The following is a 23,720-nucleotide window of genomic DNA, read 5'->3' as shown; positions in this document are numbered from 1 at the left end:
CTCGGCTCACTGCAACCTCCATTTCCCGGGCTCAAGCAATCCTCTCATCTCAGCCTCCAAGTAGCTGGGACTACAGGCGTGCACTACTGTGCCCGGCTAATTTTTGTATTTTTTTTTTTGTAGAGGCAGGGTCTTACTATGTTGCCCAGGTTGGTCTCAAACTCCTGAGCTTAAGCAATCTGCCCGCCTCAGCTTCCCAAAGTGCTGGGATTACAGGCGTGAGCCACCACACCCAGCCAGCTGTGGGTTCTGAGTCGGTTTCACACTGACTAGCTGTGCGGTGTGACCTCAGACAAGTCACGTTATGTTTCTGAGAGTCTTCGTCAGTACAAGAGGGTAATACTATTTACACAGGTTTGTTTATAGAATTAAATCAGGTGACCCCTGTAAAGTCCCCACTGTCTGGCACTTGGGTGGCCTTAGGTAAAGCTTAACTCCTAAATTATTCCTTTCAAAACAGTGATTTGCCCTACTTGAAGGCATTGCGGAAAGATAATGGTAAAAATTAAATGTAATAGACAAACTCTCAGTAATGACCCACCTGCACTCTTTCCAACCAGTGGGCATTTACTGAGCACCCACCTTCTGGGTAACAGGCCTGGTGTCCAGTGCTGGAACGGTGGAGAGGAGCTCAGAGTTTCAGAGCTGAAAAGTCAGCTCCAGGAGAGCAGGGACTTCTTGTTGGCCACTGTATTCCCAGCTAGGTGCTCAGTATTTGTTGAATGAATGAATGAATGAAAAATACAATCCAGCGGGCCTCTGACTCATTTTTTAAAACTTGAGCCAAGTCCCTTGACCTCTCTGAGCTGGTGTGTGTCCCCATCAGTGAAGCCAGAGATGTTTAAGTCATCTAGAGGTCCTGCCAAGCAGGATTAATAGAGCAATAATATTAATAATAGCAACAATCATAACTAAACATATGGAGCACTGCTATGGAGGGAATAACATGTTACGTCCACGTTATAGAAGAGGAAACTGAGACACAGAGAAGCATGAAAGGCTCCTGGAGGGGGGGTTTCATGATGTTTTGGAAGAAAGACTAGGGATCGGACGGAGTCATAGAGAAGAGGATCCACAACCCAGAGGAAAAGGCCTAGTCCAGAGCCACCGCGCGGCGCAGGCTGCGGACGTTGTAGGAGGGACGAACGCCTCCCGGAACCCGCCCAACCCAACCTCCGGCGTCTCCATGGCAACAACCTCCGCACATGCGCCGCGCGCACCTGCGCCGGAGCTGCCAGCACGCGCAGAAGGCGGACGCAGGCGGGGCGGAAGTGGGCCCGGCGGGCTGGGGCGGCGGGAGTGCGGGTGGGCGTTTAAAGGGGCCTTCGGCACCCAGGTCGGTTCGCCGCCGGGACTGCTGACGGGGAGGGCTAGGTAGCCCTGGGAGTCGGGATCTAGAAGGTAGAGGAGAAGCGGGGCTGTCTGACCCCCGGAGGTGACAAGGGGAGAGGGGCTGTGTGAATACCCTCCATGGGCAGTAATGGGATGACTATCCCCAGGGAGCATTGCGAAGGAGAGAGGCGGCTGAGGGACTGCACTTTCTGGGGCCCCCCGGGAGAGTCAGAGGGCAGTTAAGAGGGATCACAGGCCCGGCTTGGTACTGTCACTCCCCTTCCCACTCCCTGCTCTCAGCATTCTGTCACCTCCCTACCCCGTCGCGGTGCCCAGCCATGGCCAGACCTCCCGTGCCCGGTTCGGTGGTTGTCCCAAACTGGCACGAGAGTGCCGAGGGCAAGGAGTACCTGGCTTGCATTCTGCGCAAGAACCGCCGGCGGGTGTTTGGTAAGTGCCTCCCCCTTTCCTCTAGCCCGCCACTTGTCTTTCCCTGGGGAGAAGAGTGTCACCTGTTGCTCCCTGAGGAGAGCAGAGAGGCAGGGCAGTGAGGGCCTGCTCCACTGCAGTCTTCAGCAGTCTTCAGCCTGGGGGACTGAAAGCCCTAGCTCTGGGACCCCCACACCTAAATCTCCTTAGAGCTAATTCCATCGTCAGAGCCAGGAACATGGAAACAGCAGAAACCTTGCCAGCAACCACTGTCACCAGAGATGCAGTTGATTGAGCACTCCCCTGGTGCCAGGCCCTCTGTTGGGCACGTTACACAGTGCACGCCCATTTAACCTCTCAACAGCACATGGTACAGACTTGGCTAAGATCACACCCCAATAAATAGAGGTGAGCCTCTTCCATGTCCTGCTGTCTCTGGGATGAGACGCTGGTGTTCCCCATGGTGAAACTGACTCACCCAGGCAGGGCCCAGCTGTCAGGCCGGCAGAGGTGCCTGGAATCAGCTGTGGAGCCCAGCTCTGGCCAGGAGAAGCAAGGTGCCAGAAGACTTAAGACCAGAGAGTGAGATAGCTAGAACCAAAATTTGTGAATAAGTCAACTGTTTGTTTGTTTTTTTAAAAGAAATTATATTAAATTCAAAAAATGACCCTCTAGAAGGCTGGGCGCAGTGGCCTGTAATCCCAGCACTTTGGGAGGCCGAGGTGGGCAAATCACCTGAGGTCAGGAGTTCAAGACCAGCCTGGCCAACATGGCGAAACCCCATCTTTACTAAAAATACAAAAATTAGCCGGACGTGGTGGCGGGCACCTGTAATCCCAGCTACTTGGGAGGCTGAGGCAGGAGAATCGCTTGAACACAGAAGGCAGAGGTTGCAGCAACCCTAGATCGAGCCATTGCATTCCATCCTGGGTGACAAGAGTGAAACTCCGTCTCAAAAAAAAAAAAAAAAAAAAGACCCTCTAATATGGCCACTGTCCCTCTAATCCCATGATGGCTGGCAACACTGTATTTGGGGTCACACATACCCAGGCAAGTGACCCAGGCTCCACCACTGCTAGCTGTATGGCTGGGAATAAGTGAACTCTAGCCTCAAGTCCCACCTCTGTAAAATGGGGATAATCACAGTATTTACCCCATAGAGTTACTGGGGAAATTAATAAGGAGGGTGTTTGTAACATACCAAGCAGGTTCTGGCATGCAGTGGGTGTTCACTGAAGGTTGGCTGTTATTGTATTTATTTTGCATTTAGTTGTGTTGAGTGGAAGAGAATTGAGTGAAGGTTGAGCTGATTTTCTGGGAACATCATAGAATCCACTGACCATATTATCTATGCCACAGATAGGATTAAGCAGCCATAACTTAGAGGAATGGCAGTGATGGCTTTTAATTTTTGTGTTTTTACTTTAACTGCAGACATTTGGGTTTTTTTTTAACAGCTGGGTTTATGCACCTGAATGTATCATTCAGTGGTTGTCATGCAGGCCCCACAACAAACGCTGAGAGCAGCTAGTAAATAAATATCAACAGACTGACTATAATGCTTAGGCTAGTCTCTTTGTATCCCAGACTTCTGTAAAATTAGGTTGAGTATTAAGAGCCACAGATGAGGCCGGGCACGGTGGCTCACGCCTGTAATCCCAGCACTTTGGGAGGCTGAGGCAGGCAGATCACCTGAGGTTGGGAGTTCGAGACCAGCCTGACCAACATGGAGAAACCCCATCTCTAAAAATACAAAATTAGCCAGGCATGGTGGCGCATGCCTATAATCCCAGCTACTCGGGAGGCTGAGGCAGGAGAATCACTTGAACCCGGGAGGCGGAAGTTGCAGTGAGATCACACCATTGCACTCCAGCCTGGGCAACAAAAGCGAAACTCCGTCTCAAAAAAAAACAAAAAAGAACCACAGATGGTTGGTTAGCCCTGAAGAAGCCATTAGAAATGAGGTTGTCCTTGGCTGTATGTGGTGGCTCATGCCTTGTAGTCCCAGCACTTTCGGAGGCCAAGGTGGGAGGATTGCTTGAGCCCAGGAGCTCAAGACCAGCCTGAGCAACATAGTGAGACCCCATCCGTATTAAAAATAGAAGGTAAAGAAAAAAAGTAAAAATAAATAAGTGAGACTGTCCAGCCCAGGATCTGATGGGGCAAGTGCAGGATTTACCCGCGTCTTAGTCCATTTTATGCTGCTACAACAGAATACCACACTCTAAGTTATTTATTTATTTATTTTTTGAGACAAAGTCTCGCTCTGTCGCCCAGGCTGGAGTGCAGTGGTGTGATCTCGGCTTAGCAACTTCCACCTCCCAGGTTCAAGCAGTTCTCCTGCCTCAGCCTCCCAAGAAGCTGGGATTATAGGCACCCACCACCACACCCAGCTGATTTTTGGTATTTTTTTTTGTAGAGATGGAGTTTCACCATGTTGGCCAGGCTGGTCTCGAACTCCTGACCTCAGGTGATCTGCCCGCCTTGGCCTCCCAAAGTGCTGGGATTACAGGTGTAAGCCACCGCACCAGGCCTCCTCTGTGTAATTTATAATGAACAGAAGCTTATTTGGCTCATGGTTCTGGAGGCTGGGAAGTCTAAGAACATGGCAGCAGCATCTGGAAAGGGCCTTCATGCTGTGTCATCCCGTGGCAGAAGGCAGAAGGGCAACAGCAAGACAGCAAGAGGCGCCCAAACTGGCTTTTATAACAAACCCACTCCCTCAATAACAACATTAATCCATTTATGAGGGCAGCTGATCACCTTGTGTTAGGCCCCACTTCCTAACACTGGTGCATTGGCGATTAAGTTTCCAACACATGAACTCTGGGGGACACCTTCAAACCACAGCACCCCTTGACCCTGCCTGGCTCTCTCTTTGCCCTAGGGCTGCTTGAGCGGCCAGTGCTGCTGCCGCCTGTGTCCATTGACACTGCCAGCTACAAGATCTTTGTGTCCGGGAAGAGTGGTGTGGGCAAGACGGCGCTGGTGGCCAAGCTGGCTGGCCTGGAGGTGCCTGTGGTGCACCACGAGACCACCGGTGAGTGGGACCTCTATCCTTTGCCCATCCTGGGAGGCCCTCCTTGGGGGTGGAGGCAAGAACCTGGCCCTGGACCACCTCTTACTCTGTAGCCTTGGAAAGTCACTTCACGTCTCTGAGCCTACATGGGCTCCTTGGTCCCAAGGGGATAATAGTACCACAGGGTTGTTGTGTGGTTGCCACTAGAGGTGGTGGTGGTGGTAACATGCCTAGCATCAAGCTACGCTCAAGGTAAATGCTCAGGAAATGCTAATCTTGCTTTGTTGTTTCTCACCACTGGATGCTGATTGTTCCACCATGTTGAAACATCTCCCAGCGTCCTGGGCCCTTTGGGTCTCCCTGGACATACAAACGAAACTTGCTTTGCCATAGCTAGGGCTGCATCTTCCTGGTGTACCAGAGTCTCCTCCAGGGCCAGTTTCTGTTTCTCCCATCAGACTGAGAATTATCCCGGGTCAAGGACTGTGCCTCCCTCATCAAACTAGGGACCCATCAGGGCAGGGATGTATCTCTTCTTCCTATTCCTTCCTGGTCCCCTATTCCTCCCATCTCCACCTCTCCCATGGTGAGTGGCTGACCCTGGCTCCCCCTCAGGCATCCAGACCACCGTGGTATTTTGGCCAGCCAAGCTGCAGGCCAGCAGCCGTGTCGTCATGTTTCGTTTTGAGTTCTGGGACTGTGGAGAGTCTGCACTCAAAAAGTTCGATCATATGCTGCTGGTGAGCAGGCATGTGGGCCTGGGTGGGTTCTGCCAGGGGCCGATTGGGTATTAATGAGCTCAAGGCACTGCTCAGAGACCTGAGCTGGCACTGGAGACAGTCCCAGCCCATGCTTGTCCTAGGACCAGCCGCTCCTTGCTCTGGGCCTCAGTTTCCCAATCTGTGAAAGGAGGGATTATTCCTGATTCTTCTGAGGGCCCTGCAGCTGATGGGGGGTGACATGGTTATATGCCTCTCCATCACCAGGCTTGCATGGAGAACACAGATGCCTTCCTCTTCCTCTTCTCCTTCACTGACCGTGCCTCCTTTGAAGACCTCCCTGGACAGCTGGCCCGCATAGCAGGTGAGGCCCCTGGTGTCGTCAGGATGGTCATCGGCTCCAAGTATCCTTTGGATATCCTTGGCAAGTCACGGAGCCAGGGGGTCAGGGGCCCAGCCTCTGCCCAGGCATGGAATTCAGCACCTGGGCTTTTACTTAAAGGGTACAGCATGGCTACCCCAGCTCCTGGGTGTGGGCTCCAGGGAGGAGGGAGAGGCAGGGTCTGATGGGGGGCTGTGCAGAGGCACCCAGTTAGGCTCCTTGACCCTCCTCCAGATTTGACCAGTACATGCACACGGACGTGCCCGAGCGGGACCTCACAGCCTTCCGGCAGGCCTGGGAGCTGCCCCTGCTACGGGTGAAGAGTGTGCCGGGGCGGCGGCTGGCTGATGGGCGCACACTGGACGGGCGGGCTGGGCTGGCCGACGTTGCCCACATACTCAATGGCCTTGCTGAGCAGCTGTGGCACCAGGACCAGGTGGCGGCTGGCCTGCTTCCCAACCCCCCAGAGAGTGCTCCTGAATGAGTCACGAGTGGTTGCCTGTGATCCCACCCCCAACCCTCAGGTCTCGACATAGGGCTGGAGGCTGGGGCAGGAACATGGATCCTATCTGGAGGACTGGCCAGCATGGCCTGATCAGGGAGGATGTGGCCAGAGAAGGCCCACCCGCGAGCAGCGCTTTCCTTGCAGAATTCATGGCAGGGAGGTGGGGACCAAGGCCCTGAGCTCGAACATCTCCCGTGGCCTTTCCCCCTTTGGCAGCACCGATGGAGGATGACTGGGAGAGGGGGTGCCTCTCAAGTTACTTCAATCAAGAACCTGTATTGGTTGAGGTGACACCATCTGTTGTAACAGATAAACCCCGAAATCCCAGTGCTGAACTCCAGAGACGTGTTCGTTCTCACGTAGGCCTCAGCTCGGGAGGAGGTGACAGTGGGCGTGGGGCTCTGCTCCAGGCGCTCCTGCAGAGACCCAGCCCCAGAGACCCTACCCTGCCCAGTTGCCCTAGGGTGTCAGCACCCAGTCAGCAGCCAGGGAGTGAGTGCAGGCAGGAGGTGTCCCCCCGCTTTCTGTGGACCAGGCCCAGGGTGGCACCTCATTCTGCCCACATTCCAGAGGCCAGCACCCAGCAGTCATGTGGTCATGTGGCGCTGTGGGGGAGGCTGGGACATGGAGTCCACCTGTGAGTCCAGGAGTTAAGCCCGTCGCGCTGCAGGGCCCTTTTTTTTTTTTTTTTTTTTTTTTCCAGAGTCTTGCTCTGTGGCACAGGTTGGAGTACAGTGGTGCACTCTCAGCTCACTGCAACCTACACCTCCTGGGTTCAAGCGATTCTCCTGCCACAGCCTCCCAAGTAGCTGGGATTACAGATGCCAACCACCATGCCTGGCTAATTTTTGTATTGTTAGTAGAGATGGGGGTCTCACTATGTTGGCCAGGCTGGTCTCGAACGCCTGACCTCAAATAATCCGCTCGCCACAGCCTCCGAAAATGCTGGGATTACAGGCACGAGCCACTGCGCCCGGCCTGCAATGCCTTTCTTGATCATGGAGTTGTCAGGCCAGGCTTAGGATAGGAGTCTTGGCAGCCCAGGGGCACCCGAAAGCAGCACCATGCAGGGCCAACGACCATCCCAGTGGGGGTCAGGGCGTGAGCTGGCCTGAGAGGCAGCTCTGCCCCGTGGGAGGCCATTGAGGACAGGAGCTGGGAGAGGAGTGAGTAGGCCCAGCCTTGTGTCTTGGCCCTGCCCCATAAGCCAGAGACTGGTGGAAGTAGGCTAAGGAGGATGAGGGGAAGTCCCCAGGGAAAGGGACCTTTATACGATCCCCTCCAATGAGCCCCTGCTGGGCCCCATAGATGAACCCCTGGGCTGAGGCCTGGCGTGCGTCTGGCTCAAAGCAGAGTGTCCCCAAAGCCAGCTGACTCTCAGAACTCTGCAGCTGTAACCAGGCCCCACTCACACAGTATGACCTGTGCTCACACACCTGTGCTAGGACGAAAGCACTTTCCACTCCTGCCGGCTGGCACACAGGAGGCCCAGACTCACCTGTCCTGATGCCCGCGCCCAAGCACACTGCTCACATGCCCATGCACACTGCCAGCCTATTCACCCTGGGTACTGCCACCTACATTTGTCAACCCTTCCAGGGTCTGGGCCAGAGGAAGAATTGATTCCAGCACCTTCTCACCCCTGACTAAGGCTTAGAGCTCAGGCCCTGCACTTATCCCACACCCCAAGAAGGAATGTCCCTGGGCGGGACCCCCACCTCAGAGCCTGCAGGCCGGCTCCCACTCCTGCAGCCCTCAGCCCTGCTTCCAGGTGGGCCTGTCCACGTCCCCCTCTGTCCTTAACTCCAGGAGACCTTGGCTCACGTGGACAGCAATGGAGTTGGGGGAAGGGCCCTGAAGGCAGCCCCAGGCCTGACTGTGGGCCTCCAGCTACAGGCGTTTGTGTTTGGGCACCAGCTACCCCACATCCCAGCCGGTCATCTCTGGGCATAAACCCCCACCCCCCAGAAAGGAGGCTTCCTGTCCCTCTTGGGCACCAGCTCAGCCAAAAGCCAGAAAGCTGCTCTGGAGCATAACCTGACCCCCCCACGGCGAGGCAGGGCAGTCTTCTCCTGGCTGGCACTGCTCTGGTCATAGAATTGATCCTTCATCCACCTTTACCCCAAACAAGAGGTGTCTCCCTGGGTGAGGACAAAGTGGGGAGGGCAACAGGGCTGGGGCTTAGAGCCCCTCCACCAGCCATCCAGGGCTGCCTTCTCAGCTCCTCCCAGCGCAGCACCGGTGCCACTTTAGTATTTAGTAGGCCACCCCCGGGACCTCCATCACCACAGTGCAGAACTGGAAGCCACAATGCTTTGAATAGTCGACGCCTGTGCCTCCTGGGAGGTCTCTGGGCAGCCCTGTGGAGAGTGAGTGAGAGGAGAGTGTGTTCTTACATGCACGTGTTCAGGCTGATGGCATGGGACTGTGACCCGTCCAGTCACACAGGGTCTCAAACTCCAAGGAGCCCCACACCTGGTTTAATGCTCTGCTGTTGCCCTCTTGCTGATGCCCTTCTTATTTTTTTAGAGACAGGGTCTTGCTCTGTCGCCCAGGCTGGAGTGCAGTGGCACAATCATCATTCACTGTAGCCTCGAACTCCTGGGCTCAAGTGATCCTCCCCGTTTCTCCCCAGCCCCGGAAGTAGCTCCCACCATACCCAGCTAATTTTAAAACTTTTTGAGAGACCAAGCTGGTCTCAAATTCCTGGGCTCCACTGGGTGCAGTGGCTCATGCCTGTAATCCCAGCACTTTAGGAGGCCAAGGTGGGCAGATCACCTGAGGTCAGGAGTTCGAGACCAGCCTGGCAAACATGGTGAAACCCCGTCTCTACTAAAAATACAAAAATTAGCTGGGTGTGGTGGCAAGCGCCTGTAATCCCAGCTACTCAGGAGGCTGAGGCACGAGAATCGCTTAAACCCAGGAGGCGGAGGTTGCAGTGAGCCAAGATTACACTACTGCACTCCAGCCTGGGCAACAGAGTGAGACTCTATCTCAAAAACAAAACAAAACAAACAACAAAAAATGGGCTGGAGGAGCGGGTTGTAGGCCCTTCCGCCTCTGGTGGGTGGGGAGAAGCAGGGGAGCTGGTGTTCAGCTATATTCTACAAAGAAGGGGTGGATCCTGAGAGGCAAGGGTGGGACTGAGGCCTAGTTACAGGTGGTCGGGAAGGAGGTTGAAGGGGAACTGTGTGACCTTGGATGTTCTTTGTAATTATCTTATGCTTAGCTGACACATCTGTAAAATGGAGATAGCAGCACCCACTTCTTTGAGTTGTGAGAAGTAAATGCATGTGAAATGTTTAGCGTGTGCCGGGCACCAAGTTAAGAGCCCAGTAAATGTTGGCTGTTATCATCGTCCTTGTTATTACAGTAGCAGCGGCGGTTCTGGTCAGAGAGCAGGTGGAGGGGAGGAAGAAGCCTCTCAGATCGCGCTGAGAGCGCCTCTACTGTTACACTTCAAATTTAGTCAGGGGTGCGGGGAGGGAGGGGCAGCCCAACTGGGCCAATTGAGAAGCTTCTGGCACCTGCAACTGCGCCCTGTCCCCTCACCTTCACCCCATGCCTGCTGCACCAAGACGGCGATGACGCCACCGACAGGACGACGACTGTGTCTCGCGCCCTGCGGCGGCATTTATGTGCCGGACTCTAGGGGTACATTTTCTGAGACGGGAAAACCTGCATTGGTGAGACTTGGGTCAGACTCACCCATACTCTTGTCCCACCTCACCCAGAAGGCCCGAGTGGCCAGGCCACAGGCTCTCCCTTAAACCCCCTCTCCCCTCCCCGAGGAATCCCGCAGCGTCTCTTGTCATTTTCTTGCAATGGGCAGTTCCTTCCTCGAACTAACCCTAATACCTTTTGCTACAACTCAAATTTCCTTTAATTTTGGCCTTAGTGGGACTGATGGACTCAGATCCCCTTTTCCACCCAGATAAAAGTGGGACAGAGCGGGGTCAGACCGCTCCTAACTGTCCCCCTGACCCCGCGATGGGTTAGACTTCGTGCTCGCCTGGGAGGAGAAGCTGCGACCCCCGCGGCGGCGGGAGAGAGGCGACTCCGGCAGCGGCGCTGGCGCGAGAATTTTCAGCGGAACCTGGAGGAGGTGAGCACGGAGCCGGCGGGCTGCGAGACCCGAGGCCGAGCGCAGACGCCCCTAGCCAGCTCTGAGACCCGCACAAGAGCCTTCAGCAGCTCATCTGTCAAATGGATTTGGCCGTAGTGTCAGCCCCAGGCAGGGGCTGTGACGATTACACGGACGCAGGGTGTAAAGCGCTCAGCCCAGGACCTGGCACATTGGAGGTGCCCAAGAAAGGAGCAAGATCAGTCGCTATACGACGCGGCCCACCCGGCGTCTGTCTCCGCGTTTGAAAAACGAAGGTGTTCGTTTTCCTCATTTGAAATTTAAACGAGGAAAGGCATGTCAAAGCGCTTTTGAAGGCGGAAAGGACCGACGCGAAAAATGGGATCTGGCCGGGCGCGGTGGCTCACGCCTGTAATCCCAGCACTTTGGGAGGCCGAGGCGGACGAATCACCTGAGCCCAGGAGTTCGAGACCAGCCTGGCCAATATGGTGAAACCCTGTCTCTACTAAAAATACAAAAATTAGCGGGGCGTGGTGGCGCACGCCTGTAGTCCCAGCTACTCGGGAGGCTGAGGCAGGAAAATCGCTTGAATCCGGGAGGCGGAAGTTGTGGTGAGCCAAGATCGCGCCACTGCACTCCAGCAACAGCGAGATGTTGTCTCAAAAAAACAAAACAACAACAAAAAAAGGGATCTGTCACCTCCCGGCCGAGATCGTGAGGGGAGGGGCTTAGGGGTCCTTCCCTCTCCTCCTGGGAGAGCAGCCCAGGAGAGTACCCCGGCATAGCGCCGCACCCTTCGCCGAGCTGAGCGCGCCTGGGAGCCGCTGTGCTACGCCGAGGAACTGAGCCTGCGCGCGCCGTCTCATGTGGAGGGGTGGGGCGGGGTCCGCCAGGGGCGGAGTCTCCCTAGGGGGCCGTAACCCTGCCCTTGACCCCAGGCCCGGCCCAACCCCGACTCTGAGGGCTCGGCGGAGCCACGGCGACGCCTGCGCCTGCGCAACCCTCTGCAGCAGTAGGTGCCCAGCCGGCCGTAGGATTCGTGCGCCTTCCGCAGCTCGGAGCCGGACAAGTGAGACCAGGCGGCCCCTTGGGTGGGCAGGGTCTGTCCGCGGAGGGGCTGGAGCCAGCAGAAGCCTTAGCCCAGCCAAGGCTGATTTGCCCTTCCTCGGCGTGCCTCAGAGGCAATTCCCGCCTCACTCGCTTTAGGTCTCTGACCCTGTCCTTTCCGCAAACTGGGGCCCCAGCCCTGCCCACCATCTCTGATTCCCACCTGTTCAATCCGCTCTGATGCACACCTGACTGGAGCACACCCAGCCCAGGCTGCGCTCTGTGGCCAGAAGGGCTCTCTGGCAGTGGCAGCTGGCATGTCTCACCTGCCTGTCTCCAACGGAGAGGCTCTGGACTGGTATTAGGTTTCAGATCGGGCAGAGGGCTGGGCTTCTGACCCCTGTTCCTCTCACAGATTCCTGGGCAGAGATTCCCATGGCTCCTACTTCTCTTACATGTGGATGCACTGAGTGGTGAGATGGCTGCTTGGGGTGAGTCCAGCTGGGACCTTAAGCGGGCAGTTGACACGAGGACTCCTCTGGCAAGTGGCAGAAATCCTGGACCGCACAATCTCCAGGAAGAAGAAACATACAGAGATGGGCATCGCCCACCTGCTGGTAGAGGGAGTCTACACTGCGGCCTTCCCACTGCGTGAGGAAGAGATGTCCCAAGCTCAGATCTCTCCCAGGCCTGACAGCATAGCAGCAGTGGCTGGGGCATCCGGAGAGCACTCTCAAACCTCCCTGCAGCTCTCCCTCCTTTTGTCCTCCTAGGGCCTCTTTGAACTGCCTGGGTACCAGGTACCCGGTTCAGATCTCAACTCTTGCCAATTGCTGTACCCATACTGGGCTTGCTGGGGATACTGGCACAAGTACCAGCCCCTGGACCAGCCTTTGGACAAAGTATGAGAGTACTTTGGGGTGAAGGTGGTCATCCACTTTGCCTGGCTAGATGAGTCTGGCGCTGGGGTGGGGACTGGGAGTGGGGCTTGAGTGCAGAGATGGGGGTTCATGAGCTTTCTCTCACCCTTCAGGTTTCTACATGGCCTGTCTGCTGCCTGTGACCCTGGTGGGCACCCTGCTCTTTATCTCTAGCCTTGTCACCGTGGGGACCAACACACTAGTGTGGGTGGCTGTGGAAGGGTTGGGGGATGGGCTGGGTGGGCTAGGTTGTCTGCCTGGTTGAGGATAGGCCCTCCCAGGATAGGCACCCTCTGCTCACAGACAGGAGATCTGTGCCAGTGGGGGTGCCACTCTGTGATACCTGTGCCACGTGGAATATTTCTGGGATCTGCCCCATGGCCAAGGTGAGCCAAGGAAAGGGGCAAAAAAACCAGGTAGGTATTTTGGACCCAACCTGGGCCTGGATGCTGGCCCTACCTTGTGCCCTCTCTCCCCTCCTCACAGCTGAGCTGCCTCTTTGACCACCCAGGAACCGTGTTCTTCAGCATCTTCATGTCCTTCTGGGGCCATGGCCTTCCTGGAGCACTGGAAGCAGGGAGTGCCACCTTGGCCCACCACTGGGACTGCAGTGACTTCCAGGACCAGGAGGCAATGCCCAGTTCAGCCCCCCACCACTGGGACTGCAGCGACTTCCAGGACCAGGAGGTGATGCCCAGTTCAGCCCTCCACCACTGGGACTGCAGCGACTTCCAGGACCAGGAGGTGATGCCCAGTTCAGCCCTCCAGGCCACAACCCCACTTCCCAGAGTTCTCAGAGGCCTTAAAGTGTGCTGGGAAGAGGTCAGACTTTGGAGTCCAACATCCTGGGATCCAAATCTGGCTTCTCCTCACACTTTTCCTGGGTCACTTTCCACCCTCCCCTGACATCAGGATGATACAGGCTTGGCGAGGTGAAACACTGAGAGTATTTATATAATAAGCCGGGCCTTGGAAAGAGACCCTCCCAAGAACAGAGAAGGAGAAAACATTCCACCTACCCACCCACCCATCCAGCTACCTACCTGTCTATCCAAACATCTTATCATTGATCCTAAGTCTGTTCGCTTCTCCCTACCTCCTCTGCCACACCCCAGCTCTCCCCACTCCAGTCCAAGTCACCATTTCCTCTTTCCTGGACCACTGCAGTGACCTCGCAACAGATCTCCTTGCCCCACTTAATTCATTCTCAGCTGCCAGGACAGTGACATCTGTGTTACCTTCCTCAAAGCCTTCCAGGGCAGTCTCATTTGAGACGTACCTGGGAAACTATCCAGACCCCTCACAGTGGCCTGCAAGGCCCTGTGCCATCTGGCCTGTGTCTAGTTCTGCCCAACTGGCTCCACCAGATCCTTGAATAGGTCAAGTTCATTTCCATCCTGGAGCCTTGGCATTGGCTATATTGGCTATGCTCTGCCAGAATCCTCTTCCTTCAACTTTTTTTTTTTTTTTTGAGATGGAGTCTCGCCCTGTTGCCCAGGCTGGAGTGCAGTAGTGCAATCTCAGTTGACTGCAGCCTCTACCTCCCAGGTTCAAATTATTCTCCTGCCTCAGCCTCCCAAGTAGCTGGGATGACAGGTGTGTGCCACCACACCCAGCTAATTTTTTATATTTTTAGTAGAGATGGGGTTTCACCATGTTGGCCAGGCTGGTCTCGAACTCCTGACCTCAGGTGATCTGCCTGCCTTGGCCTCCCAAAGTGCTGGGATTACAGACAGACATGAGCGACCACGCCCAGCCCCTTCAGATCTTATGTGGCCTACTCCTTGTCATTCAAGTCTCAAATATCTCCTTCCTAGAGAGGTCTTCCCTGATCACTAATCCAGAGAGGTGCCCTGTCACTGTTTTAATTTAATTGCAGCATTCATCACTGTATTTTATGGTTTGTTTGTTTATTATCTGTCTTCTCCCACTGGCGTGTGAGCTCCATGAGAGCAGAGACCTTATGTGTGATGTTGGCTGCTGTACCCCAGTGCCCAGAATAGTCTCTAGCACATAGAAGATGCTCCATAAATGTTTGTTGAGTGAATCTGTGAATAATCTATCTTCTGCCTACCCATTTGTCCAGCCATCCATCACTTTATCCATTCAACAGGGTTATAGGAAGATAGAAAACCAAACAAGATATTTTAACAGAGATAATTTAATATATAAGGTATTGGTTAAACAGGTGCTGGGGGACTGAAAAAGCAGAAAGGGAACACTGAGGCAACGAAGTAAATGTCAGTGGTACCCTTTGGATAGTGCAGTACATAACTCAGGTAACTTTAAAGAGTGGCCCTGGCCCGGGCACAGTGGCTCACACCTGTAATCCCAGCCCTTTGGGTGGCTGAGGCAGGAGGATCACTTGAGCCCAGGAATTCAAGATCAGCCTCAGCAACATAGTGAGACTTTCTCTCTACTAAAAAATAAAAAATTAGCTGGGTGCAGTGGCATGTATCTGTAGTCCCAGCTACTCAGTAGGCTGAGGCAGGAGAATCACTTGGGGCCAGGAGTTTGGGGCTGCTGTGAGCTATGATTGTGCCACTGCACTCCAGCCTGGGTGACAGAACAAGACCTTGTCGCTAAAAAATATATTAAGAATTAAATTAAAATTGAAATTGGCCATGCACGGTGGCTGATGCCTATAATCCCAGCACTTTGAGAGGCTGAAGCAAGCGGATCACTTGAGGCCAAGAGTTTAAGACCAGCCTGACCAACATGGCAAAACTCCATCTCGACTAAAAATACAAAAATTAGCCCCGGCTGGGCGCGGTGGTTCACATCTGTAATCCTAGCACTTTGGGAGGCCAAGGTGGGTGGATCACAAGGTCAAGAGATTGAGACCATCTGGCTAATGTGCTGAAACCCCGTCTCAACTAAAAATACAAAAATTAGCTGGGCGTGGTGGCACGCGCCTCTGGTCCCAGCTACTCGAGAGACTCAGGCAGGAGAATTGCTTGAACCCGGGAGGCGAAGGTTGCAGTGAGCCCAGCCTGGTGACAGAGCGAGGCTCCGTCTCAAAATAAATAAATAAATAAATAAATAAATAAATAAATAAATAAGCCCAGCATTGTGGCATGTGCCTGTAATCCTAGCTACTTGGGAGGCTGAGACATGAGAATCGCTTAAACCCAGGAGGCGGAGATTGCAGTGAGCCGAGATCGTGCCATTGCACTCCAGCCTGGGCAACAGAGTGAGACTCTGTCTCAAAAAAAATAATTAATTTAATTTAATTTAAAAAGAGCGGGCTGGGCACAGTAGTTTATTCCTGTAATCCCAGCACTTTGGGAGGCTGAGGCAGGCAGATCACTTGAGGGCAGGAGTTCGAGACCACCCTGGCCAACATGGCAAAACCCCATCTCTACTAAAAATACAAAACTTAGTGCCAGGCACAGTGGCTCATGCCTGTAATTCCAGAACTTTGAGAGGCTGAGGAGGGTGGATCATTTGAGGTCAGGAGTTCAAGACCAGCTTGGCCAACATAGGGAAACCCCATGTCTACTAAAAATACAAAAATTATCTGGGTGTGGTAGTGCACACCTGTAATCCCAGCTACTCGAGAGGCTGAGGCACGAGAATTGTTTGAATCTGGGAGGAGGAGGTTGTAATGTGCCAAGATCGTGCCACTGCACTCCAGCCTGGGGGACAGAGTGAAACTGTCTCAAAAAAAAAAAAAAAAAAGAAAAAGAAAAAAAAAAAGAGTGGCCCTGCCTTTGCACCCACTGTTCCCTCCCCAGAAAGCTTCTCTCCACTGTCCCTTTAGCACCTTTTCACCTTTTGGGTCATAGCTAAAGTGTCATTTCTTCAGACCATCCATGAAAAAGTTTTCCTTCATAGGACATATATATATGTCTCTGTTCATTCATTTAACCTGTCTCACAAACTAGTTTGTAAACTTCATTAGGGCATGGATCTTCTCCAGTTTGTTCACTATGGCATATTCAGTATCTATTGCAGAGTGGTACATGGTTAATAGCTATTGACTAAACTAATAAATTTATCCATTTATCCATCCATGCACCCATCCCACTCATCCATTCATCCAAATATCCCCATGTTCATCAACCATTCAAACAGACTTTCATCTGCTCATCCACCTAACCATCCATCCATCCATCCTCATGTCCATCAGCCATCCCACCAAACTTTCATCTGCTCACCCACCTAATCATCCAGCCATCCTCCATTCATCCATCCATTCATCAATCCTCAACCATCCAACCAGACTTTCATCGCTCACCCACCTAGCTATCTGTCTATCCTCCATTCATCCATCCATCCCCCCATTCATCCATCCATCCATCTATCCATCCATCCTCATGTCCATCAACCATCCAACCAGACTTTCATCTGCTCACTCACCTAACCATCATCCATCCATCCATCCATCCATCCATCCTCATGTCCATCAACCATCCCACTAGACTTTTATCTGCTCACCCACCTGGCCATCCATCCATCCCTCCACCCACCTGCCTGTCTACTCACTTACTTGTGAATAAACTATAGAAATTTACTGATTGCTTGCCTAGTTTACCTGCCCATTTGTCGGCCTACTGCCTGCTCACTCATCTGTCTATCTATCCCTTTTCCACATGTCCACTCATTTGCTGTTTACTTCTCCGTCTACCCACCATCCATCTAGCCATCCATCCACATGCTTTTAACCATGCCCTGGGGAAAAAGGTCCTGCAAAACCAAAAATGAATTAGAACCCATTGCTGCACTTCCAGAGCTCCCTCTGCAGTCAGGAAAAGGTGGGGGGCTTCCCCTAGCCTAGGATCATGGCACCAGCCTCTTGGCCCTAGGATGCACATTTCTGTTGCCCCCTGTGATAGGAGTGCCCACATCTACAGTTTGCTGCCCTGGCCCTGCAGATGACCCAGAACCCAGTGACAGGCTTGAAGGAGCCCTACTTCCAACCGCACAGCTGCCTTTCCCACCTACTCACCAGCTCTGCAGCCATCCTCACTGTGGTGAGGGGACACTGGGCCTTTGCTCTGGAAGGACTGGCTCCTCCAGGGTGGGTGCACTGGAACCCTGGCAGTCCACTCTCCAGCTCTGACAGCCCTCTCTCCTGGCCCCCAGCTCTGTGTGGTGATGATTTTCCTGGTATCTGTCATAATTTACCATGGCATCATCAGCATTGCAATGTTCCACACTGGCAACTCTGTGCTCATGACCCAAGCGAATGTCCTTTGGGGCAATGGAGGGTGAGAGCACTGTTCCAGGCTCCAGGCCTAATGTGGGCATCTTCAGGTTTTTTTCATCCCACCAATGGATGGGCTCCCGGTAATGGCCCACCACACCCGCCTAATTTTTGTATTTTTAGTAGAAATGGGGTTTCACCATGTTGGTCAGGCTGGTCTCAAACTCCTGACCTCAAGTGATCCACCCATCTCAGCCTCCCAAAGTGCTGGGATTACAGGTGTGAGCCACCGTGCCTGGCCTGTTCTTCCTCTAAAACCAGGTAATGTGTTGCAAGGCTATCTTTGTGTCATCTGGGAACTGGGAGTCTGGTGTCTCCAGTCACCCTCAAGCGAGAGTGGCCAGGGACACATGGCTGGCATTAGGGGTTGGTAGGTTAAGGACAGGAGCATAGGGGCTGACCTGATGGGCTATGCCTGCCCCCTTGCGCCCAATAGAATTCTGACCAGCTCTGCCCTTTGTCCAGAGATGCCTCCATGAAAATGCCTTCACTTTCATTTTCAGTTTGTCAATTTCTATTCTTCTCCCTTCTACATGGCATTCTTCAAAGGCAGGTAAGGACCACTCCCCAAACCCCAGCCTTAGGGCTGTCGCCTCCCAAGGAAGCAGCCCAGCAAAGCAGCAGCACCCTTTGGGCTCCAGATTTGTTCCTAGCCAGGTCTTGCTATGGACCTTGAAGCTGGTTCTTGATTTCCCTGGGCGAAAGTCTTAGCAACTGTAATTTATGGGTACACCATTGCACAGCTGTAAAATCTAACACCTGCATTCAGTCTGTCCTACAGCCCTCACTGGGTGGCCCCAGGCCTGACAATGCCACCTCCCAATGCTGCAGTTTGAGTTTATCACCATCTTTTGGGGGCCTTCCTGCTGTGCACCCTTGGTTGGATGCTAGGGACACAGAAATGAATCAGAGCTGGTCCTTTTTCCTAGAAGCATTGAGTCTTTAATGAGATCTGGTTAGGAGTCATAAAATGCTGGACTCTCAGGAGGTGCTGTTATTGTGTAATTGCCATTGTCATTTGATGGGATGGGAGGGATGGTCACCAAAAGAGCCCACTCCCCAGCACAATGACCCCATCTTCCTGGGCCATAAATGCCACATTGGCTGATCATGGGTTGAGCAGTACATAGATTCAGGCCATGGTCCCAGCAGACTTCTGGGGCCTAGTAGGGTAGGCAAGGCCTCCCATCAGCTCTGTCAGCAGGGTTAGCTGTCAATTCAGGGGGTGGCCAGAGGACCAGGAGCAGTGGGGAGAGGGGGTCAGCCTCAGCATGGAGTTTAGCTGCAGCCTGGCTCCAGAGAGGGAGAGCAAATTACCCACAGATGCAGGGGGCCCTCAGGTTTGTGGGATACCCCGGTCAGTATGGCACATTTGCTCAGCATGCCGAGTGAGGATGTGATTATGTACCCCTGGGTTGCTGATTCTGGGGGGTTAGGGGGTAGTCATCACAACCTCAGGTCTGGCAGGGGTAGGATCTGCCTCTGGGGCCTCCAAAGTGGGTAGGAGGAGCAGGTGGCCAACTCTCTGCACCAGCAGGGAGGTGGGGTAACCCCTATGCAGCCCCAAAGCCCTGAGTAAGGTGCTCTGTGTCTGCCAACAACAGTGCGGTCCTGGTGGCTGCCACATTCAGGTCACCCAGCAGCTCATCATCATCATGGTGGGCAAACAGCTGCTCAACCACATGGAAGAATTTGTTGGGCTGTGAGTGTTGGGGGAAGAACGGGGGACAAGGCTGGGCCTAATCAGGCCATTTGGAGGGCTTTTATAAGAGCAGAGCAGAAAAACCCTTTACTGGGACAGAAGATACGGGCACAAGTCCTAGCCCTGCTTCTTGTAAGCTGCGTGGCTTTGTGTCTCTCTGGGCCTCAGTTTCGTCATCTGTACAATGGAGACAATAATACCTCTCCATGAGAGTTGAGGGGATTATGAGGCGTTCAACAGGAAACAGCTTTGCAAATGGAGGGCTTTCTATTACTATTTTTTTCAGGGGGCAGTGATATTTCAGAGACCAAGAATGACTATGTGGGAAGTGCAGAGTTGAGAGCACTGGACTCGAGTCTAACAGATTGGATTTGAACACTGGCTCCACCACTTACAATTTGGGGAGCCTGGGCCAAATTCTCCAGGTGTGTTTCCTCATCAATACAGTGGAAATCATCATGGTGCCTGCCTCTAAGGGGTGCTGGTGATAGAAGTGGCAGTTCCTAGCACAAGGCCCTGTTATGACCATTATCTGGTTGCCCTGCCTCCAGGAAACGGAAGGCTTGGTGGCAGAAGTGGCAGCTGGCAGGGCAGAGGGACACCCAGATCGGGCAGGAGCTGCAGCACTGGGAGAAGGAAGGACTATGAGCTCATCAAGTGTCAGGGCCTGTTTGATGAATACCCAGGGATGGAGGAGCAGTCGCTCAGCAGCGTGTGCCCTGGGCATGAGTGGGGCCCCTGGGGGCCTGGCACAACAGGGGAGGTGGCCCCGGGCCTGACACTCCCTGCCTGCCAGAGCTGCAGTTTGGGTTCATCACCATCTTTGTGGGAGCCTTCCTGCTGGCACCCCTGTTCACTCTGCTCAACAACCGGGTAGAGATTGGACTGGACGCCCACAAGTTCCTGTGCAAGTACCAGCGACCAATGGCTGGGCGCGGCTGGACATCTGGATCTGACTGCTCCTGCTGGAGGCCATGGTACACCTTGAGGTCACCGTGAATGGGAGTGAGGTAGATGAAGGGAATACAGGGGCAGGGGGCGGGGGAGATGGAGCTCAGAGACTGGGGAAGGGGGTTCAGGAATAGGGAAATACAGGGCTGGAGAAGGAAATCCGGGTCAGAGTTTGGGAAATAGGGGAGAGGAGGCTAGGATCCCGGGCCAAAGGCTCATCCTGCCACGGGAGGGGGTCTGGATCCGAGTTGGGGTGAGTTAGGGGGTTGGGCCCTGAAGGCCCTCTGGCTCTGCAGGCTTTCGTCTCGCCTTCATCTCGGACTTCTGCCGCATATCCCGTAACAGTACGAACACCACACCCAGCTGCACGGATTTGTGAATTTCACGCGGGCACCCGCGCCCCATGCCCACCTGGCCCAGAGCAAACACACTCTGCCCTTCAGGCTGGGGAGGAGGGGCGCGGCGGGAGGGGCGGGGCCCTGAGCTTTGGTGGGCGAGGCCTTCCTGGGAAGGGCGTGGCGCTGAGCCTTGGTTGGCGGGACGCTGAGGCGGGAGGGGCAGGGCTGTCTGGGAAGCACGGCGCTGAGCCTTGGTGAGGGAGGCCGGCCTGGGAGAGGGCGGGTGCTAAGCTTTGGTGGGCGGGGCCTGTCTGGGAGGGGCAGGTGCTGAGGAGGGAGGGGCGGGGCCTAGCTGGGAAGCCGGGAGCCGAAACTGGACGGGTGGGGTGGTGCCTGGCTGGGGTGCAGTGAGCTGATTCTGCCCCGGACAAATGCGCGGAGCCGGCTAGGGTACTGGCTGAACGGGCAGGGCCAGATTCTAGGGAGAAGGAGGGGAGGAAATGCGGGGTTCGGAGTCGAGATCCGAGAGCCTCTCCAGACCCCGCAACCCAGATACAAGGCCTCTCGCGACGTGGGGGTGAACCTCGCCCTCTTCTACTGGAAGCTGCTGGCTGTGCATGTGCATCTGGGTTTCATTATCGCCTTCGAGGTAGGCTCAGCCATCTGTCTTGGACAGACTTGGTTCCAAGTTCAGGCTCTGCCGCCGACCGGCTGGAAATTGGGATATATTATATAATAGGATCTACTTCATAGGGTCGTTATGAAGGTTCGGTGTCAAGCATTTGCACTGTGCCTGGCATGTTGTAGGTGCTCAATGAATTAATATCACAAATAATAATAACATTATCTCTTGGCAAGAGAAAGGAGAAACGAGAGGAAGCACTCTCCCACCAGCTTTGCTCTTTTACAAGCCCTGCCCTGACGTGGTTCCTAGTGTTAAGGGGTTCGAATCATACCTCTATGTCTTTGGGCAAATGGCAACCCCTTTCTGCTTCTGTTTCTTCGCTTGTGGAGTAGAAATTACCCCCAGCTCATAGAGTTGTTGTGAGGATTAAATGAATTCATATCCGGAAAACCTTCAGGTTAGGGTTTGGCTCAGGGTAAGCGCTCCATGAGTTAAGATCGCTAAGGCAATCATTCTCTCTTTTTGGCCCCCTTCTCCCCAGAATGTAGTGTTCTTCTTCCTGTGCCCCAACGACCGGCTCGTGCCCGATGTGCCAGCCCTGGCTACCAAGATAACTGCGCGAGCGCTACCTGGCCAAGCAGGCGGTGGCAGACAACCGGGAGACGCTGTTTCAGTCAGCAAGGCAGGCGGACCCCGGCCCCACCCGCAACATAATGACCATAATGACCACGCCCCTTGGCCTGCCCTCAAGCTTCAGCTCAGCCCTCTCTAGTTCAGCACTCTCTAGCCCCGCCCCCTTATTTGGCCTCATCCATTGGAGGGATTGGCTGGACTCCCTGTAGTTTCCGCCTGTTCCCGCCCATCATTAAGCTCCGCCCCCGCCAAGCCCCCTTTTCTACTTTATCTGCAAGCTGGGGTTGGGGGCTCTGCTCTGGAGTGCCAGCCTGCTCAGCCTGACCAAGCTGTGCTCTATGTCCGCACAAGGGACGCAGGGGCGTCCAGGACGCAGGGGCGAGTGAGGCAGGGCTGCCCTTCCAGGACCCTAGGTTCCCCAGGATGCTCCTCCTATTGGGGTCCTCTGGCTTCCAGTTACGCATCTGGGCAGTGTCCCAAGGCCGGTCCGGGAGTTGGATGAGAGGATTGGAGTTCCCTGGAGACCTCCAGACCTGCACTGCTACCCTTCCGTGTTCTTGCCTCCTGGCCTCTGTGCAATGCTGACAATAAACCTGTCTCTGCGTCCCAGACTGCCACCTCTCCACGGCCACCTGGTCCCCACCCACACGGTGCAGTGTCTCCTCACTATGTGGCAATGCTCTAGGGAGCCAAAGTGAACATGGGGGAGCAGAGGGACCCTAATGACTCTGAACTTAATGGCTGTCGGTTGGCAGCTAAGGAAAATACTTTGGGGCCGGGCGCGGTGGCTCACGCCTGTAATCCCAGCACTTTGGGAGGCCGAAGAGGGTGGATCACCTGAGGTCAGGAGTTCGAGACCAGCCAAACCAACATGGAGAAACCCCGTCTCTACTAAAAATACAAAACTAGCCGGGCGTGGTGGCGCATGCCTATAATCCCAGCTACTCGGGAGGCTGAGGCAAGAGAATTGCTTGAACCCGGGAGGCGGAGGTTACGGTGAGCCGAGATTGCGCCATTGCACTCCAGCCTGGGCAACAAGAGCAAAACTCCATCTCATAAATAAATAAATAAATAAATAAATAAATAAATAAATAAATACTTTGGGGGACTAGGGCATGGGCCATGAAACCTCTGCTGTGTATTCCGAGCCTGTAGTGTAAGAATAATAAGACCAATAAGAGTTTAGTTAGGTCAGCCGAGACACCCCGGATTACACTTTCACACACTTTTCACCACGAGACCCTCCTAAAAGCCTGGTGAGGCAGTACCAGGCAGTGGTGAAGGACTCAGGTTGGTGGTGGGGTCAGACAGACCTGGGTTTCTTTTCTTTTTTTTTTTTTTTTTTTGAGATGGAGTCTCGCTCTGTCACCCAGGCGGGAGTGCAGTGTTGTGACCTCAACTCACTGCAACCTCTGCCTCCCCACCTCCGTGGTTCAAGCAATTCTCCTGCCTCAGCCTTCTGAGTAGCTGGGATTACAGGTGTGCGCCACCACGCTCGGCTAATTTTTGTATTTTTAGTAGAGACAGAGTTTCACCATGTTGGCCAGGCTGGTCTCAAACTCCTGACCTCGTGATCCGCTGGCCTCAGACTCCCAAAGTGTTGGGATTACAGGTGTGAGCCCCTGTGCCCAGACTATTTTTGTGTTTTTAGTAGAGACAGGTTTCACCATGTTAGCCAGGCTGGTCTAGAACTCCTGACCTCAGGGGATCCACCTACTTTGGCCTCCCAAAGTGCTGGGATTACAGGCGTGAGCCACCACGCCCGGCCAGACCTGGGTTTCAATACTAGTCCTGCCCCTTATTAGCTGTGTGACAAGTTATTTAA

The 23,720-nt window shown here is 54.1% G+C and overlaps 1 protein-coding gene and 1 pseudogene across 13 annotated transcripts, besides 8 other annotated features; both read left to right on the top strand.

The window, feature by feature from the left end:
* Positions 1,173–1,352: a silencer, noted in NCBI's record as "silent region_330". NCBI's record gives its function as "represses an Ori minimal core promoter by ATAC-STARR-seq in GM12878 lymphoblastoid cells {active_cell/tissue: GM12878}" and the evidence as "EXISTENCE:reporter gene assay evidence [ECO:0000049][PMID:35858748]".
* Positions 1,173–1,737: a biological region, named in NCBI's record as "H3K4me1 hESC enhancer GRCh37_chr1:16563171-16563715".
* Positions 1,193–1,737: an enhancer, noted in NCBI's record as "H3K4me1 hESC enhancer chr1:16563171-16563715 (GRCh37/hg19 assembly coordinates)". NCBI's record gives its function as "activates a minimal SCP1, AML or CMV promoter by ChIP-STARR-seq in primed H9 embryonic stem cells {active_cell/tissue: H9 hESC(primed)}" and the evidence as "EXISTENCE:reporter gene assay evidence [ECO:0000049][PMID:30033119]".
* CPLANE2 (ciliogenesis and planar polarity effector complex subunit 2) lies at positions 1,230–6,721 on the top strand. 2 transcript variants are annotated; one of them, NM_030907.4, is made up of 5 exons: positions 1,230–1,782; positions 4,649–4,801; positions 5,396–5,520; positions 5,767–5,903; positions 6,116–6,721. In NM_030907.4, exons 1-5 carry the CDS (start codon positions 1,671–1,673, stop codon positions 6,363–6,365), a joined length of 777 nt encoding a protein of 258 aa, NP_112169.2. In that variant the 5' UTR covers positions 1,230–1,670; the 3' UTR covers positions 6,366–6,721. The 2 variants fall into 2 exon arrangements, with proteins under 2 accessions (NP_112169.2, XP_011540428.1); XM_011542126.4 differs by having other exon boundaries at positions 5,767–5,914.
* Positions 6,546–7,374: an enhancer, noted in NCBI's record as "H3K4me1 hESC enhancer chr1:16557534-16558362 (GRCh37/hg19 assembly coordinates)". NCBI's record gives its function as "activates a minimal SCP1, AML or CMV promoter by ChIP-STARR-seq in naive H9 embryonic stem cells {active_cell/tissue: H9 hESC(naive)}" and the evidence as "EXISTENCE:reporter gene assay evidence [ECO:0000049][PMID:30033119]".
* ANO7L1 (anoctamin 7 like 1 (pseudogene)) lies at positions 11,482–22,506 on the top strand (annotated as a pseudogene). 11 transcript variants are annotated; one of them, XR_007065494.1, is made up of 9 exons: positions 11,482–11,539; positions 11,933–12,419; positions 12,551–12,585; positions 12,924–13,181; positions 18,150–18,199; positions 19,635–19,773; positions 19,900–20,358; positions 20,596–21,286; positions 21,804–22,506. The product of XR_007065494.1 is annotated as an anoctamin 7 like 1 (pseudogene), transcript variant X7 (transcript). The 11 variants fall into 11 exon arrangements; XR_007065492.1 differs by having other exon boundaries at positions 12,741–13,181; XR_007065491.1 differs by having other exon boundaries at positions 12,551–13,181.
* Positions 20,683–20,782: a silencer, noted in NCBI's record as "silent region_329". NCBI's record gives its function as "represses an Ori minimal core promoter by ATAC-STARR-seq in GM12878 lymphoblastoid cells {active_cell/tissue: GM12878}" and the evidence as "EXISTENCE:reporter gene assay evidence [ECO:0000049][PMID:35858748]".
* Positions 20,923–21,032: a silencer, noted in NCBI's record as "silent region_328". NCBI's record gives its function as "represses an Ori minimal core promoter by ATAC-STARR-seq in GM12878 lymphoblastoid cells {active_cell/tissue: GM12878}" and the evidence as "EXISTENCE:reporter gene assay evidence [ECO:0000049][PMID:35858748]".
* Positions 21,375–22,071: an enhancer, noted in NCBI's record as "H3K4me1 hESC enhancer chr1:16542837-16543533 (GRCh37/hg19 assembly coordinates)". NCBI's record gives its function as "activates a minimal SCP1, AML or CMV promoter by ChIP-STARR-seq in primed H9 embryonic stem cells {active_cell/tissue: H9 hESC(primed)}" and the evidence as "EXISTENCE:reporter gene assay evidence [ECO:0000049][PMID:30033119]".
* Positions 22,150–22,199: a silencer, noted in NCBI's record as "silent region_327". NCBI's record gives its function as "represses an Ori minimal core promoter by ATAC-STARR-seq in GM12878 lymphoblastoid cells {active_cell/tissue: GM12878}" and the evidence as "EXISTENCE:reporter gene assay evidence [ECO:0000049][PMID:35858748]".
* Positions 22,507–23,720: the final 1,214 nt, after the last annotated feature.

Source organism: Homo sapiens, chromosome 1, assembly GCF_000001405.40.
Source record: "Homo sapiens chromosome 1, GRCh38.p14 Primary Assembly".
Classification (NCBI taxonomy): Eukaryota; Metazoa; Chordata; class Mammalia; order Primates; family Hominidae; genus Homo; species Homo sapiens.
The sequence above is the reverse complement of the archived record's forward strand: the minus strand, read 5'-3'. Positions and strand labels throughout refer to the sequence as shown.